The 18,364-nt window shown below is 40.9% G+C and overlaps 2 protein-coding genes across 11 annotated transcripts in view; one reads left to right on the forward strand and one right to left on the reverse strand.

Moving 5' to 3' along the window:
* ENTHD1 (ENTH domain containing 1) overlaps nt 1-2,548 on the reverse strand; it is a 150,717-nt gene extending 148,169 nt beyond the window's left edge. For 6 of the 7 annotated variants that reach the window (XM_006724150.4, XM_011529928.3, XM_011529927.3 and 3 more), the window contains exon 1: nt 2,483-2,548. The gene's annotated coding sequence lies outside the window, so the exon portion shown is untranslated. Of the gene's footprint in view, nt 1-1,771 lie in introns of all 7 variants that reach the window. The other variant, XM_006724149.4, reaches the window with a different exon arrangement.
* Nucleotides 2,549-2,607: 59 nt separating this feature from the next.
* Nucleotides 2,608-18,364, forward strand: part of GRAP2 (GRB2 related adaptor protein 2) — a 79,902-nt gene continuing 64,145 nt past the window's right edge. For 3 of the 4 annotated variants that reach the window (XR_007067995.1, NM_004810.4, XM_047441608.1), the window contains exon 1: nt 9,872-10,118. Coding sequence is in view for 1 of the 4 variants with exons in the window: in XM_047441608.1 (XP_047297564.1) it covers nt 10,027-10,118 (92 nt within the window). In the remaining 3 variants the exon portion in view is untranslated. Of the gene's footprint in view, nt 2,679-9,871; nt 10,119-18,364 lie in introns of those variants that run through there. The other variant, XM_047441607.1, reaches the window with a different exon arrangement.

An 18,364-nucleotide genomic window follows, 5' to 3' on the forward strand; every position in this document is an offset into this window, starting at 1 on the left:
TGGTTAATTTCCTTCATTGCACTTGTAACAATCTGTACTTACCTATTTGTCATTTGCTCAGTGCCTTTCTTCACCACCAAACTGGAAGCTCCTTGGGGGCAGGGACCTTGACGGTCTTATTTACCACTGTAATCCTATCCCTAACAGCTAATTAGCAACAGTAGATACTCAAGAAACATGTGTTGTGCAAATAACACAATGATTGAATGATTCTGCCTTGGGATAAACCTGCACTGATTCTATAGCTTTATAATTATAATCACTTTTTTTTTTTTTTTGAGATAAAGCCTCACTATGTAGCCCAGGCTGCTTGCAAACTCCTGGGCTCAAGCAATCCCCCTGCCTCAGCCTCCCAAGTAGCTGGGACTACAGGTGCATACCACCAAGCCTAACTAATTAAAAAAAAAATTTTATTTTTTTTTTTGAGATAGGGTCTTGCTCTGTCACCCAGGCTGGAGTGAAGTGGCACGATCTTGGCTCATTGCAACCTCCACCTCCCAGGTTCAAGCAATTCTCCTGCCTCAGCCTCCCAAGTAGCTGGGACTGCAGCCATGAGCCACCAAGCCCAGCTAATTTTTTGTATTTTTAGTAGAGACGGGGTTTCACCATATTGACCAGGGTGGTCTTGAACTCCTGACCTCAAGTGATCCGCCTGCCTCGGCCTCCCAGAGTGCTGGGATTACAGGTGTGAGCCACCGTGCTTGGCCTCAAAAAAAATTTTTTTTTTAGACACGAGTTCTTATTGGTTGCCCAGATGGTCACAAACTCCTATAAAGCATGATATTAAAAAAATAAATAAATAAAATCTAGCTCTCATAATTGTCAAGTAAAATTCTATAGTTTTGAGCAAATATTTTCAAATCATCAACAGATATTTCTTGAGTACCTACCATTTGTATAGCTTTGTGGAGAAATATAAAACATGAACCTCACATTAAAACTTACCATTCAGTTAAGGAGCTTTCTCTCCTAAATAATTCCCAGCAAAACAAATGATTACGTAGAAAAGGTCTTTTAGTGTTATTTTTAGATCTGCCCACTTTCACAATGCTGTTTCCTTCCCCCCATTTCATCTGAATTCTAACAGGAAATGATTTATCAGCTGGCATTAAACTATTGGTCCACGATCTTTTATCCCAATCCTTTGAGGCCAGATGATTTGTGGAAATTCTCTTTTGGGTGCGGTGGTAGGGGTGGAATTTTCAAGAGTAGTGCCATGTCTATACCATATATTACATGATACCCACAGTAAGGTGTGGAGCTGCTCTGAACAATTAAACACATTAACATGTCTGCAATAAAAACATGTAAATATTTGGAATAAAGACTACAAATGGCCTCAGGCCAAGTTTTACCACCAAATGAGTTGGAGGAAAAGTTGATTTCCAAAAGTTTTTGGATTTCAGGATTGAGAATAAGGAACAGAGGAGCTGAACTGACTTTATCCAAAGACTTGGGACAATAATGACAATAGCATCTAAGAGGCTGAGTGTCCAGAGCTATCTCTGAAAAGATGCATTTAAGGTGGAACTATGAGAAAAGAACAGCTCTTGTGTTTGTACAGGTTCTGCCTATAGACATGAGTTTGACTCGTAAGGAAATGAGCTCTGGCCAAGAATGCTACGGGAAAATGGTTATAGAGACTACCATGCCATTAGGAGGTGTTACTGTTTTGATGAAAAGAATACTGTCAGAGGCAGAGAATCTAATCTTTTCCAGCCCTAAGTGTGTGTTCATTAATTTATTCAACTAATAATCTTCCAGAGCTTACCATGTGGCAGGCTCCATTCTAGGAAATGGAGAAACAGGTGCACAAGACACAGTCCTCACACCCTGGAGTAAACAGCTACTCTTCATTGAACGCTCACAATGTGCTCACACCTGGGCCTTCACATGCCTCATCTCTCTCCTTTAATTAGGATTCAAAGCCATGATTTGAGGTCCTGCTTTGCCATTTCCTAACTAAGACTTAACAACTTCTCTAAGTCTCAGTTCCCTCATCCGCAACACAAAGAATAATCGCCAGACAGGGCCGTGGGGGAGGAAGAAACGAGATGCTTTGGAAAGAATTTTGAAAATGGCGGGTGGAGGCTGAGCAAGAATCAACTTTCTGTGGGCAGGGCCTTTCCTCGGCATCCTCGTCTTCATTCATACAACCCCCACTTCAGATGACGACTGTGTACCAGATGAGCCAGGTGCTGGGCGTTCGGCCACACAGAGAATCAGACCAGCAATTACCCTAGGAGAACCGGCAGTGGAGGGGAAGGCTGGACCTCAGGAAAGCCTCTAGAAGGAGAGAGGGACGTGATGGCGTCACGTCACGCCACAGGGATTTCACCTCCTGCGGATGGTAATGGCCTCGCCGCCCTCCCGCCCCCACCTGGACTCCGACGGTGCCGGCAAGAAACGGGAGGAGGGAAGGCAACCGATGTTTCCAGACCCGCCTTGAGCCCCACCACCACTCCCAAGCAGAGGCTGTTACCTGAGAGGAAAGTCGGCCGCTGCCCAACGACCAAACTTCCTCTCCCCAGGATATTCCACCTACTCCAGCCAGGCTCAAGGGCCCAGGCCGGTCCCCACTTCCGCTTCCTCACTTTCTGGCCTGGTGCAGTTCCTGTCAGGGCGTCAAGCAAGATGGTTGCAGATACCTGAGCTGGAGGGTACCAAGGGGAATGAAGGTAAGTGTCTTCGTTTCACAGGCTGCCGGGCTGTGACACTGCCCTAATCCTCCTTTCAAAGAATAAATTTTTTTTTTTTTTTGAGATCTGGGAAATAGTTTAATCAGACACTAGCATTTATTCTTAGCTGCTTTCTTAATTAAATAAAAATGAGTATAAATTAATTTACTAAATGTTCACAACGTAAAAACGGACATTAAAAAAAGAAAAAAAATGCCAAGGTAAGCTGATAATGTTTTTAAAAAGTAGACAATAAAATAATGTATGTAACTTAAAATTTGCCATGATAATTTATTCTTAAAATGGAAAATCAGTAAAATACTCAGACTTCTAGCATAATATCTCTTTTTTTTTATTTATTATTATTTAAGTTTTAAGGACATGGATGAAATTGGAAATCATCATTCTCAGTAAACTATCGCAAGAACAAAAAACCAAACACCGCATATTCTCACTCATAGGTGGGAATTGAACAATGAGAACACATGGACACAGGAAGGGGAACATCACACTCTGGGGACTGTTGTGGGGTGGGGGGAGGGGGGAGGGATAGCATTGGGAGATATACCTAATGCTAGATGACGAGTTAGTGGGTGCAGCGCACCAGCATGGCACATGAATACATTTTTAAAAGTGTGTTACTACTGTCATTTCAACTGACTAGAAATACCACCAGCACGTGATTGCCACCTCAAAGGACTGAGAATGTAATAGTAGTCTATGAAGAGCAGTGTGTGTGATGGACAATGATGGGGTAGCTCCAGTGACTGATGGCTTCAGGTGCCACTGACGGGTAATTGTTGATGTATTCAACTGATTTTCCGTGAGCACCCACTTTGTGCCAGACAGTAAGGACTCGGAGATAAAAAGCAGCCCTCTGCTGGATACGTTTACAGGCTAGTGGAGGTGACAGGCACCGTCAGAGAAGATTGTAACAAGATATGTATGGCATAGTAAGAGAGAAGAGATCATCTAATTCTGCCACTGAGTATTTAAGGGCAGGTTTCACAGAAGAGTTTACATCTGAATTGAATCTTAAAGGATGACAGGGAGTTCACTGGATAGACAAAGTAGAGGAGGACGTAAGAGGCAAAGGACACATCATGTGTAAAGGCATGAAAGCTGAGCCAGCCTATTATCTTGGAAAAACTACATGTACTGTAGTTACTACAACTGTCACAAAGGCTATTAGTGGAGCAGCAGAGGAAGGTTAAATAACAGAGGGAAGTTGGATCATGAAGAACCTTATCCATACTACAAGGTGATTTTATCCAGTAGGCATTGAAAAATGTAATCGAACCTGTGTTTTAATGGAATATTGACTAGGATGAGGGGAAAAGACAGAGGATAACAAAACACTTAGTAGACAAAAGCAACATTTGTTTCTATCTCCTACTACTTCAGTCATAATTATAATAATAATAGCCCACATTATTGATACTGACATGTAGATAGGTGAATCCAATATAAAATGATAGGAGGTATGAAAGAAGTTGGTGAGTTTGGAATATTATTTGACTGGCTATAATATAGAGTAATGGGGTGGGAGCCAGAGGGAAATCGAAAAGGTGACCTGGAAAACATTGTTCAGGGCCTTGAATGCTATGTTGAGGTATTTTGACTTTATAAAATAGTGGGGGACAAACTACAAGTATTTTATACATTGAGGTATAGTTTATGAAGTTTTTTTATATGTATAGCTTATGTAAATCTCAAAGGAATGCTGAGAAGTAGGCGTTATTATCCCATTGTACAGGTGAGAAAGCTGAGTTTGTGGAATATGCATACATTCTACATTATTGAGCACCTGCTATTTGCCAAGCACTATGCTGAGCTATGAGACTAGAAGGAAGTTGTAGTTTAATACTCTAATAGAGGAAACAGGAATAAATCAGCAATTGTAAGTAGTTGCTATAATAAAGGCAAACAATGTTACGGGAGTGAAAGGGGGACTTGTCTATATTTGCATAGTCAGGGAAGGCTTCCTGGAGGAGGTGAGCTTAAACTGAGTTTGGAGAAACAAATAGATTACAGTAATTGCCCAGAGATATTTAACTAGGAAGCAGTTTACCTGAAACTTGAACCCAAATCTCCTGTGTCTAGCTCTTTCCCCTACTCCAAGGACCAATCTTTGGTCCTTGATTTTAAGCTCTATCAGCAACTCAGTCACAAGTGGACTTGTTATGTTTGGAGAAGGTCAGAGATTCCAATTTTTTATTTTTAAATTCATTCATTTTCTCCTTTTAAAATCTCTGTGTGTGCTCAAAGAGTAGATTGGAAGCAGAGGAACTGGAAGAAGAACAGAATGTTCTGATAGTTCAGGCAATAAGTGATGAAGGCCATAACTAAGGCAGAGGTCATGGGCATAGTGTGAATCTCCACTCTGTTCACTCTCCTCACACATATACTTTTACATGTAATGTTAAAGTGTAGCAGTTATGGGATCGGGCTCTGAATATATGTGGCAATGAGAGAGAAGGAGGAGTCTACAGGGACTAAGTTTCTTTTTGGGGTGACCAAGTAAATGACTGTTGCTGTTCACCAAGATGAACATGATCCGAGGGGTCAGTTTGGCAGGAAAGCTGGGGAATTCTGCTTCGGACATTTTGAATCTGAGCAACAGGTGGGAGATGTTCAGGGGACAGTTGAATAGAGATAACTGAAAGAAGAGGGTTTGGGGCTAGGTTCATAGACTTCAGAGTAGTCAGCATATAGAAGGTGATTGAGGAGGCAGATGGGAAGTAGGAGACAGGGTAAGATTAAAGACTGAAGTCCCAATAAACAGTGAGGGAGTTGGTTAGGCTTGGCAAAAGTGTCAAGTGTTACCAGCTTAGTGGAATTAACCCTGTTCAAGTGACAATATGTAAGGGGTCCTTCTTATCTGCTTTCCTCCATTTGGGGGCACAATTTAGTTGCAATACCGTAACATCCACTAAATACAAATATTGCTCTATGGTAGCTTGGTTGGTTTTCTCCTTTAATTTTTTGAACTTGAGGTTCTATAAAAGTGAACACAGTTTGCTTCACCTGACTTCCCGGACACCATTTCTCCTTCTCATCTCCTTGACTCATCCGTTCTCAATTCTATGACCTCTCAACTTTGAAGGAGCCCATTCTCTAACCTCTTGTCTTCTCTATCTATATTCACTCCACAGGTAGTGTTATCCACTTGCAAAGCGGTAAATACTCTTCGATTCTGACAACTCTCAAGGTTTTCTCTTCAGCTTCTCCTGACCTCCAAACTCGTGTATCTAACTACCTTGACCTCTACTCCTGGTCTTGCCTTCCAAACCTTCTCTCCCACGGTCTCTCCTGTCTCAGTAAATGACACATCCTTGCTTCTAGGTTCTCAGGCCATGAACCTGGGAGTCACCTTAACTCCTGTGTTTGTCTCTTATAGCTCTCATGATATCCATGAGCTTACCTTTGAAATACAAGGTGGCTACCCAGTCTAGATAATAAATGATTTATTGATGCTACATTCTAATACAAGATACAATAACATTATCTATGTTTCTAGACTTTATGATCACCCTGTATATTCAAAATCCAACCACTTCCCACCACTCACATCATCCTGTTTTAAGCCACAACCATCTCTGGTCTGGACTATGAAAGTAGCCTCTTTTTTTTTTTTTTTTTTTTTGAGATGGAGTTTTGCTCTTATTGCCCAGGCTGGAGTGCAATGGCGCAATCTCGGCTCACTGCAACCTCCGCCTCCCGGGTTCAAGCGATTCTTCTGCCTCAGCCTCCCTAGTAGCTGGGATTACAGGCATGCGCCACCATGCCTGGCTAATTTTGTATTTTTAGTAGAAATTGGGTTTCTCCATGTTGATCAGGATGGTCTCAAACTCCCGACCTCAGGTGATCCATCCGCCTCAGTCTCCCAAAGTGCTGGGATTACAGGCATGAGCCAACCATGCCTGGCCAACAGTAGGCTCCTAACTGGTCTCTCTTCTTCTGTTCTTGCTCCCTTGCTATCTAATTTCAGCACAACAGCCAGAGCTACCCTTTTAAAACTTAAAACCCAAGTCAGATCATACTACTCCCCAGTTCAAAATCTTCCATTGGCTTCCATCTCACTCAGAGTAAAATCCAAAGGCCTCGCCATGGCAACAAGGCCCTACATGTTCTGCTCTCTCTCTGATCTCCATCCCAACTCCTCTCCACCTCACTCACAGTGTTAAACATGTCTCCACCTGAAGTCTTTGCACTTGCTAGTCCCTATACCTGCAAAAGCTATTTCCCCAGATGTCCATCCAGGAAGTACTGGCTTCTTCACTTTGTTCTAGACTTTGCTCAAATGTCCTTTGATTTCCCAACGTAAAATCGCAACCCCCATCTCAGCCACACTCCCTGTGGCTCTTGCATCATTTTATTTTTCTCCCTAACAGTAGGACCATCTGATGTACCTTCTGTTTCTCCCTTTACCAGAATGTAAGATCCAGGAGGGCAGAGATTATGTTTTGTTCACTGATAGTTTTCCAGCACCTAGAACAGGACTAACACAGAGTAGGTGTTCAAACTTTATTTATTGAATAAATGAAACGAGAATGTCTGAATGCACACTATTAAATAAGAAGTACATATTTTACCATAAAGTTAAATTGAGCATAATTATGGCAAGAAGTTCAGATATTGGCCAGGCGCAGTGGCTCATGCCTGTAATCCCAGCACTTTGGGGGGCCAAGGTGGGCAGATCACCTGAGGTCAGGAGTTCGAGACCAGCCTGACCAACATGGCGAAACCTCAGCTGTCCTAAAAATATACAAATTAGCTGGGTGTGGTGGCAGGTGCCTGCAATCCCAGCTACTCGGGAGGCTGAGGCAGGAGAATCATTTGAACTTAGGAGGTGGAGGTTGCAGTGAGCCAAGATTGCGTCACTGTACTCTAGCCTGGGCAACCGAGCGAGACTCAGTCTCCAAAAAACAAAATAAAACAAAAAACAAAACAAAACAGAAGTTCAGATATAAACAAATGACCCCTCAAAAGGAATTGATTAAAAAAATTTTAAACAAAGTATGGTTTAAAAAAGAAACTTCTCCACTGTGGCTAAGTCCATATTTCACATGTTACTGTATCCTCCTCATCTTGCTGCTATTTTTCTGAGTATCTCATGATAGTGAGTACTGAAATGCTGGCATTCTCACATTAGGGTCTTTATTCTTAGGATCTGCCTTTGCACTCGTTCAGTTACAGAGCTGTTATGAAATAAACCACTCAAGTGGCCTTGCTTCCCTCCCACTATGCTCTACATAACATGTCTGTCAATCAGTACTTACTACCAAAATAACTTGCCTTTGAGATTTTTCTGTTCTGCAATCTGTCCCATGCTTGTAAGGGGAAGGATTATATTCTGCTCCCTGGGGAGTAGTGCCTGGTGCAAAATTAGCTTCCTCATTAGGGTACAAGCTGAAAACACCATGATACTTTCCATGTAACACCATTCAACATTTTCCCTTCGCTCCCACTCCCCAACCATAGAATTTTAGGGACTCCTTTAACCATTTCAAAACCATCGACTTGGGAGCTATCAAAGAATAAGGACTGTAGCCAGAGGATTTCAGCATTTAAAAACTTGGCAATAGAGCTGTTCAGTGTAATGATCCAAGAAGGTCCTTAGAAGGCTGAATAATTCTGAGGTCAAGGTTGAGACGTTATTATTTTTAAAGTAGCAAGATGTTGTTATTTTTAAATTTTATCTTTATAATGTGGAAATAGCAGAGATCCTTTTCAGATATAACCAGGATTTAAGAAAATTTGACAAAGTTGCATTAATAAAAAGAAAGCCTGTTATTAAGGAGCTACAGGGCCGGGTGCGGTGGCTCATGCCTGTAATCCCAGCACTTTGGGAGGTTGAGGCGGGCGGATCATCTGAGTTCAGGAGTTCAAGACCAGCCTGGCCGACATGGTGAAACCCCATCTCTACTAAAAATACAAAAAAAATTAGCCAGGCATGGTGGCAGGTACCTGTAATCCCAGCTACTTGGGAGGCTGAAGCAAGAGAATCACTTGTACTCGGGAGACGGAGGTTGCAGTGAGCCAAGATCATGCCATTGCACTCCAGCCTGGGCAAGAAGAGTGAAACTCCGTCTCAAAAAAAAAAAGGAGTTATGGATAGAAAATTACTTCCTTTAACTCATTCGACAAATATTTACTGAGCATTTTCTGTCACCTTGACACTTTGCTGATTCTTCTTTTCTATTTCAATAAAAATGTTGGGCAATTATAACCAAGGAAAAGGTTTTAAGAAAGTAAATTTTAAGCAAGGTTTAGATATAAAGAAGCAAAGAGATGGAAAAGGATGCCGTTTCACATTGCAGAAAAAGTTTAAATTTTAGAACCCCAAATTGAATCTCTCCTTGACACTCTCCTCTTGGTATTCCAGGGATTAATGCTAGGAACATCCCAGTGAGCCAACATTTCCCTCCTCATCTTGGATCCAGTCCCCAAACTCTGAATGGTGCCACTTAGCAAGTAGCAATGTCTCTAATTTTCTGTAAAAGATGCAACGTTGGCAATCCATTTTCTAGCAAGAGCAAAGAGAAAGGAAGAGGCCTTCACAAGTTGCAGTTGATATAGGGGGAAGGGTGAGTGGTACATTTAAAGGTAAGAACTAAGGAAGTTGAAGGTAACAAAACTCAAGGTCAATGGAAAGTCTTAAATCCCAGAAAGCCTTCAGTCTAAGACTCAACAGAAATTGAAGTCCCAGAAATTGAAGGAACTGGTTCCACCTCATGCTGGACTGTGGCAAACCTGGGGTGAGAATGCATCCCAGCTCAGAATGTTTCTTCTTTTTTTGTCAAGAGTAATATTAGAGGCTGAGTGTATGAACAAAGCATCTTTCCTGGGATTTTAACATTGTGAGTGATCGAGGGTGCTCTTAAATAAGTTCCCCCAAGAAGCCCTAATGTTCCTCTGGATGCATGATTATACTAAGAGAATAAGAGTTTTCCTTAAGATCAGCTTGCTGATGGACCATATCAAGAACTATAAATTTTCTTATGTGAACACAAGTGTTCAGGGGGGATATTGTTAAAACTGAAACCAAGCATAAAGAAGCAAAAGTGTTTCAGTGAACCTCCTGCATTTTAGTTCAACTCTGGCAGCAAGAAAACAAAACCACATAATCTAAGGCTCACGCCCAACTCTCCGAAGCCCCATATGTGCTAGTTCCTGTGTGGTTTGCCTACAGACTGCAGGGCTGACTAGGGTTAGTTTGGAGGAGGGAGTAAGAGGTGGGGAGGAGGAGGCACAGTTAATGGATCTGTAAACTTGCACCCTCTTTCAGAGTGGTACATGGAAGACAGCACAAAGTGGATCCATACTCTGAAATGCAGTAACTCTGATGCTTGAATTTGTCTCCCTTCTTGCCAGAAAGGATTCTAATAACTCGGTGTCAAAGCCAAGACATAAACTCAACCCCTTCTCTTCCAAAAGGTATGTCATTATACAACATCTGTACATATACTCTAGAAACTTTGAACAGTTTTATAATTTGCAGAATGTTCTGTATGAGTTAATTAAAATGAATCTCACTAGTTCTCTAAATATTGCTTTTAAGTCCCATCAGCTAAGGTCTCTAAACCTTTTGCTGTGACAATGTTTGTGGTGATGGGATTTGACTTCTATCAAATGAACTGGGAGAACACTTGTTCCTTACCCAGTCCATAACACAAAAATCTCCACAAACTGGCTTCAGAAGCATCTCAGGGAAAGATTTTCGACCTTGGGATCATGGAGGTAAAATTCCACTTCACCATGGTCAGAATTTAATCCAAATTGGAAGGGATTGGAGGGGGTGGTAGAGGGCTGAGCAGTGATGAATGAACACTAGCACTCTGAGGTCAGGATTTCTCTCTTTGCTTGAATTTCTAGTTCTGTTCGCATTTTTGTTACCTGTACAAAGGACACCAGTTTTCATTCCTTTACGAAAAGAAAACTTTATGTTGAAGTGTATTTTGGAAGGGTATTGTCTCTCTTCGTACTAGCCGTTAGGCTCCATCCCTATGACTGTCTCTGGTTTAGGCGTCCAGTCTGAAGATAGCTGCTTTGTGTTCTTTGTCCCAACTCTTCCTGAACGTGAGGATTGAACATACCAACCAAAGGTTTCACTAATTTAAAATGTACTGTATTGCCCTGACAGGTATACTGTCAAAAAAAATTTACCGTATTTATCTACCTGGAATTAGGCCTTCTTAATAAAGTGTATGCAGCATAATTTGCACACTATTGAACATACACATCCCTAGATAAACTAGGAGTGGGAAGTGTTTTAGATCTAAACATCCAATGGGAAAAATTTCGTGTGTTCTCGTTATGTTATCTGAGGATGGGAAACTTCAGGTCGCAGAATCTTTTGTTCTATGCAGCAATGTTTGTCATAAACGGTTTAGTTCTTTAGTGGCTCCTTTTTGTTTCTTATTTTTGGTTTCGGAAAGAGTATTTAGCAGAAGTTACTCTCCTTTAACAATCCAGTATTTTATGTAAAACTTTATAGAATAATTTTATAGTGATTCTCTTTACAAAACCATCTGCTATTAAATAAGGAACACTGTGTAAATAGAGGACCACCTAAGTATATTTAATTTTCAAATACGAAAAAAATCTGACTCATACCCTTTTTTGTTTTTTTGTAAAAGAGAGGTGGCCCTATATTATTGAATAAAACTGCTTTTTTAGATTGAACTTGGAGTGTCTCCCATGTGGTAAACTGAAATCTTATTCTCCCCAAATTGTAATAGATTTTATCTTTTTAAAAATGACTTTACTGAAGCAGAGGAGAAGGAGATGATCAATCTATTCAATATGAAGAAATATCTCTGTTGCTAATACAATATCCTTTTGAATATCTCCCACATCTTAGGCCCTGGTGAAAATCCCTTTCAATTGTTCTGTCTACCTCGTAGGGATGTTGTAAGAATAAATGAGTTAACATAGATATGAAGTGCCTTAGGAAAAAGGCTCTATAAAAATGCAAGGCGATATCATGATTAGTTGTTTCTTTGACTCTTGATCATTTTCTTCCCACTTCTTATACAAAATGTCTCTCACTTATTTCCTGAAGCCATCTCTTTTAGAACTATTGCTTCCTAGAAGAGCTGAAAATGATCCTAGTTCCAACATATTTATTGATTCCCAGATAATAACACCCACTGGTGTTGATGACTGACAGGGTTCATGCCTAAGCTTGAGTAGAACTTGCCCTTTTTTCCTGGGTCAAGAAAAGTCTGCAATTGTTCGAAAATGTGTCAGTAAGTGTGATTCCATCACGATTTCTTAAATAAGTAACAGTTGCTGCTGGATAATCCTGGGGGCAGATGATTCATTTTTGTGCCCCTATCAAACAAACTCAAAACTTGTTAAAGAATCTTTATAAGTTGTTTGAATCAAACAATAGGGTCGCTAGGTCCCCATTTTGTCCATTTGAGGTATTTGCCCAGCATACCTTGGTCTGTAAAGAAATAGCACAGCCTTGGCTGGGCGCGGTGGCTCATGCTTATAATCCTAGCACTTTGGGAGGCCGAGGTGGGCAGATCTCCAAAAATAAATAATAATAATGATAATAACACAGCCTCATGAGTCTTTTTTTTTTTTTTTTTTTTGAGACAGGGTCTCACTCTGTCACTCAGGCTGGAGTACAGTGGCACAATCACAGCTCACTGCAGCCTCAACTACCCTGGGTTTAGTGATCCTCCCACCTCAGCCTCTCAAGTAGCTGAGACTACAGGTACACACCACCACACCTGGCTAATATTGTATTTTTAGTAGAGACAGGGTTTTGCCATGTTTCCCAGGCTGGTCTTGAACTCCTGAACTCAAGCGATTCGCCTGCCTCAGCCTCCCAAAGTGTTGGGATTACAGGTGTGAACCACTACACCTGGCCTGCCCTTTCTTTTCTCTTAAAAATTCTTAAGAAAGCATGGTCCTGTTTAACAAATAAGCATTTTACAAACATTTATCGATCAATTACTATATGCCAGGCCTGGCACTAGGCACCAAGTCCTCTTCAACAGTGTTAACATTAAGTTTCAATAAACTTGAGTCAGTAGGAATTCAGTAAATAATTTTTAAAGATTGTTTTCTTTTTAAATATGTATTTATAAACAAAAATTTTAGAGAATTAAAAGAAACTATCACGAAGTGCATGATGATAAAAGTCTTATATACTCTCCAAAGAAAATGTTAAGACATACCTTAAGGAGATAGTGAAGAACAGCCGGGCACAGTGGCTCACACCTGTAATCCCAGCACTTGGGCGGCCAAAGCAGGCAGATCATCTGAGGTCAGGAGTTGGAGACAAGCCTGGCCAACATGTTGAAACCCTGTCTCTACCAAAATACAAAAATTAGCCGGGCATGATGGCAGGCGCCTGTAATCCCAGCTACTTGGGAGACTGAGGCACGAGAATTGCTTGAACCCGGGAGGCAGATGTTTCAGCGAGCTGAGATCGTGCCACTGCACTCCAGCCTGGTCGACAGAGCAAGATCCTGTCTCAAAAAGAGGAAAAAAGAAAAGAAAAGAAAAGATAGTGAGAAAATAACTGAACATAAAACATAAAGAAAAGTTGAAATATTAGTACTCACTACCTAGGTTCAACAATTGCTAACTCTTTGCCGTATTTGCTCCATCTATACCTATTTCTTTCTGAATTACTTGTAAGTTGCAGATAAAATAATACTTCACTCCTAAATAATTCAGTACTCATCTAAGAATAAAGGCATTCCTCTATCTAACCACAATTCCATCATTAGGCCTAAGAGGATAAACAGTAAGTCCTTAATATCATCTGATAGCTAGTGCAGATTTAACCTTCCCCATTTGTCCCCCAAATGTCTTCTATACCATTTTTTAAAAAAAGAATCTAATTTTTAAAAATAAGAACATATTTTGCAGTTGGGTCTCATGCTTCTTTCTTCAACATTGGATGTTTTTAAAGATTACGCCAGTTCTCTTGTACCAGGTCCCACTTTCTGAATTCGTTGTTGCCTCATGGTTAATTTGTTCCTCTACCCACTTTATTTCTCATAAGCTCCAAGTTAGGACTAAAAGCATGATTTGATTTTGATTGAACGTTTTTTGCAAGGTGCCACTGGGTGCTCCATATTGCATCTTATCAGGAGGTACAGAATGCCAGGTTGTTCCACTGTGCATGATGCCAAGTTTGATCAGGGCTTGAGGTAGTGATCTTGCTCAGAGGATCTCTTGTTGTACAGGCACTTTTTCACCCTTTGCAATTAGCGAGTACTCTCAGGGGGTATCTCAAAGTGTATCTCATAAACACTTTGGCATGGTGGCAATATCCTATTTCCCAACAAACTCTCACCCGGTGACTTTAGGTAATAATCTTTGCCTAAATTGATTATTTCATTGGAGTTCATATATATTTTTAATACGCTTTGAAGATGGACTCGACATGCAAATTCATCATTATCAGCAGCAATAGTGGCTGGAAATATTTATTGAGTGCATAAGTTCAGGTAATAATAATAATAGTAGGTAATGTTTATTGAGTGCTTGCTGTGGAGCCAAGACAGCCTCGGTGTGAGCCCAGTCTTTCACTTACTAAGCGAATGAACTGGGACGAGTTATTCTTTTTGTGCTTCAGTTTCTTAAGCTATAAAATGGGATTACTAATGGTGCCTATCTCGTGGGATTGTTCTGAAGAGTAAACGATTTATACATTTAAGGTTCCTAAAACAGTGCCTGTTATTATTGTTATTTGCCAAGCATTGTTCTAATACTTTGTAGGTACTAACTCGTCTACTTCTTCTAATGGTGCAATGAAGAAAGTGCTAATAATACCCTTTTTTCACAATGAGGAAACTGAGGTACGGAGAGGTCTAGTACGTTGCACAAGGTCACTTAACTAGTACCTGGTGGAGCCAGGATTTGAACCCAGGCTGTCTGGTTCCTGAGCACTCTCTCTGATGATGGGCACATGCAGTGAGGAGTGATACAAGTGGAGCTGAGTGGAAGTAGCCCTCACACACACTCAGACTTGAAGTTATTGAAAATCCGGGAGGTTGCCACCCAAACACATTTAAGGTTTAATTCATCTGAATAAGAACAGCATTCCACTAAGCCCAGATAAGTACTCTTATTACATTTACATAGCTTAAGGCTCTGTACAAGAAACCTTGAACATAAAATACTTGGAACAGAAAAGAGTAGGAGAACTATGAAGTAATGGGGGGAAAAAATCCCTGAAAGGAACAATACAAGCGGGGAGTTATGAGACCTGGGACCTCAGAGCCTCGGGGTGGAAGATGATATTTTGATATAATCAGGAGGGAGAAATTTCCTCTCATTTTTCACATTTCTGTACTATATAAGATTTTACCATAAAACGCAAGAGTATAAGCCATTGTCAGATTTATAAAAGGCCATGGTGGATTTCCTTAAGAGACGATGGATGACTGTTGTTAGTAGGTAAATTCCCTGGTTGGTTATCTCATACACTCAGATATTCCATAAGTCAGCCTGTGGCTTCTGAAACTGTATTGAGAAAAAGCTGTATAAACTAGGTGTTGGTCCATGCTCCTTCATTAGCATTACAAAAGGGTTCGACTGCTGAGTTGAATCTTATCCACTCCTTCAGTGGCCATTACAGAAAGCTCTCAAGTGTAATTTTCTAAAGAGAACTAAAAATAAATAAGAAAAAAAAAATCCAGCATTAATAATGGTTCTTTTTGCATTTCCAACACAGTCATTGCCAAATTGGTTCTGCCTTTTTATGTTTTTTAATGAAAAGCAGCCTAATTGATCAATTGGTCATGAATAATACTTCTTCGTTTGTTTTTCTCCACACCCCCCAGCCTTCTAGAACCACGGGCTTAATGTGTCGGCCTACAAATGGTTCATGATTTGTGTTTTTTGTCTAGTGCTTTATGGGAAAATATTAGAAACAAACTGCTGAGAACTCAGTAGGAACTCAGTAAATAATAAGTAGATAGTTCTCTTGTTAAATATGATTTTAAAGAAACTCTTTCTAAATAACTAGGAAATATTACAAGGGAAGTACAAAGTGGGGTGGAAAGCCTGGCTGACTTGTAATTTGAAATTTCTCTTCATCATTTTATAGGTCACACAGTTTAACCCTTTATAAAACAAAATGTAAAGTCTGATAGCTGAAAAGGCTCTCCTCCGCTAAATAGATTTGTTTGAAAATATAGATCATTAAATCGGTAAGAATAACAGGAGAATCTCAACCAAACATTGAGACAACTAAGAAAATTGTCTAAATCTAATACCTTATATCAGTACTTTAAGTTGACCATAAATACGCTGATATCCATAGCACATAGGTTCTTACTGGCAGTGGTGGGGTGGGTGGGGGAAGGGGAGTGTCACAGACACATTCAAGATGTCAACGAAAACTATGAAAACTCTCCCCAATGGGGAAAAAAAACCAACGATGCCTAGCACTTATCCTACGCAACTTTGTACAGAATTTCCGTGGGAAATTCTGGTGTCCATCCATCATAAATCACCTGGTGTCCACCCATATATCCTGAATAGGAAAAATTGTCTTTCTCTAGAGTTATTGTACACTGATCCTGATGGAGCTTTAAAAAGAGTTGTCGTACAGGCTCATTGACTTTGGGAGGACAAGGTGGGAGGATTGCTTGAGCGCAGGAGATTGAGACCAGCCTGGGCAACATGGTGAGGCCCCATCTCTACAAGATATTCTTTTAAAAAATTAGCCAGGCCCAGTGGCCCGCACCTGTAGTCCAAGTTACTCCAGAGGCTGAGGCAGGAGGATCCCTTGAGCCCAAGAGATCAAGGCTGCAGTAAGCCGTGTTCACACCGCTACACTCCAGCCTGGGCAACAGAGTGAGATCCTGTCTCAAAAAATAAATAAGTAAATAAAAAGAGTTGCCATTATCTTGTTTGATCTGGCTATGATCTTTGAGGTAGACAGACCACAGATTTTACCTCTCATTCTGCAGAGTGGGAAAAGCAAGGCTTGGAGAGTTTCCGGGACTTGCTCAAGGTAATTTGCTAATGTCTGCCGGGACGTAGCACCAAGCCTGTCACGCTGTAGGCTGGGCCCCTTCCACAACACTGGTCCAAACACAGGATTCTGGAGATGCAGGAGCCCTCGATGGGCTTCTGGAAAGCTGAATTCTGGCTCTACCAGAGCTACCCACGTGATCTTAAACAAGTCACCTAACTTCCCTGAGCTTCAGTTTCTTCCTTAGTCAAGTGAGAGGTTAGACTGTGTGTTCTCTGAAGCCCTTTGATTTTCTGCAGAAAACCACCTAATCCCACTGGGTCTGGGAACAGAGGGAAATGACCTTTTCTGCCATAGATGGCAAGACCCTTCACCCTTCCCTGTAGGGCATAAGAGCTGGCATCCAATTCTTAACGGATTCCCTTGCAATGTCCAAATCCCATTAGAAACTACAAACATCTCAATAGTGCCTTTGTGGGCTGCTTGGGTGTCATGCCGCTGGCTGCCTCACTTGCTGCAGGGCTGACTGTCCACATCAATTATACTCCAACCCTGTGCTCTGCAATGGGCAGACATCCCATGAGATTTTATTACCCCTCTTGGGTAGTTCAGGGAGTCATATGGAAGTAAATAATGCTGATGGGCTTATTTTGGGCTGATAGATCCTTATCCTTCTAAAGAGGTTATGCCTTTCAAAGGGTACAAAACCTTCTCCTTGATTTTTTATTACGAACAGTTATATCCTTTAATGTCCCAGAATTGTTCTTGGAAGTTGGAGACTCACAAGAGGGCCTGCAGCTGTGAATGCAGAAGTCCTGAGACTAGGGGAGGACATCACCACTCTCCCTTGGCCTTTGGAGTCATCCAAGCTAAGTGCTAATATTTGTGATTAACAGGTGTTGATAGGAAATTGGGCCCCTGTGTCTCAGTCTTTTTGTGCTTCAAATTTTCTAAGTGAACTTCAGGCTGGCAAGTGGAGTTAGATCAACTTGTTGCAGACAGTATCATCTGCTCGGTACCGTGTCAGGTCACTGGACTGTGGGAGGTTATACTGACCAGTGATGAGAGTGACAGAGCATGAGCTTGGCTCCCGTATCCTGTGTTCTGTGCTCAGCCTCACAGATGACTCACTGTGCCTCATCGACTCCTCTGTCCTCGAGTGAAATTATGCCATTCTTTAACCCACTATACAAGAGACTTTTGAAGATTCATGTGTGGCTACCCCCAACAATATCTCATTTGTACAATGCAGAACATGGTGCTTTCTTGTGTAAACAAACTCATTTTGTGGAATTTTTATTTTCTAGATCAATATTTTTAAATAGACTACTAATTCATTTTATAAACCGGGTACTATAAGATTTTATGAGTTGACACTTGGTACCCTGTAAGTATCCAAATAATCAAAGAAGGAGAAAGTGTGAAGTCAAGGAATCCCCTAGCTGAAAAGAAATTCCCAATACCTGGAACAAAAAAGATGGAGCTTTTAGAGAGCAGACTTTTTCTCCAGCAAAGATCCACAACTTCCATTTTTAAATGTAAGACGTAAGGGAGATTTATGATACAGCCTACTTTGTCAGATCATATTATTTCATAAAGTGAAGGGTCAATTAGGTGTTATTATTATCAAGAAAGCATGCTGTAATGCTTCGTCTTGTAGATGCTGTAAAAATTACCTGTCTGATTACTTTAATTCATCTTTTGGCTACTGTCTGCAGAAATTCACTCA

Source organism: Homo sapiens, chromosome 22, assembly GCF_000001405.40.
Source record: "Homo sapiens chromosome 22, GRCh38.p14 Primary Assembly".
NCBI classification, from domain to species: Eukaryota; Metazoa; Chordata; class Mammalia; order Primates; family Hominidae; genus Homo; species Homo sapiens.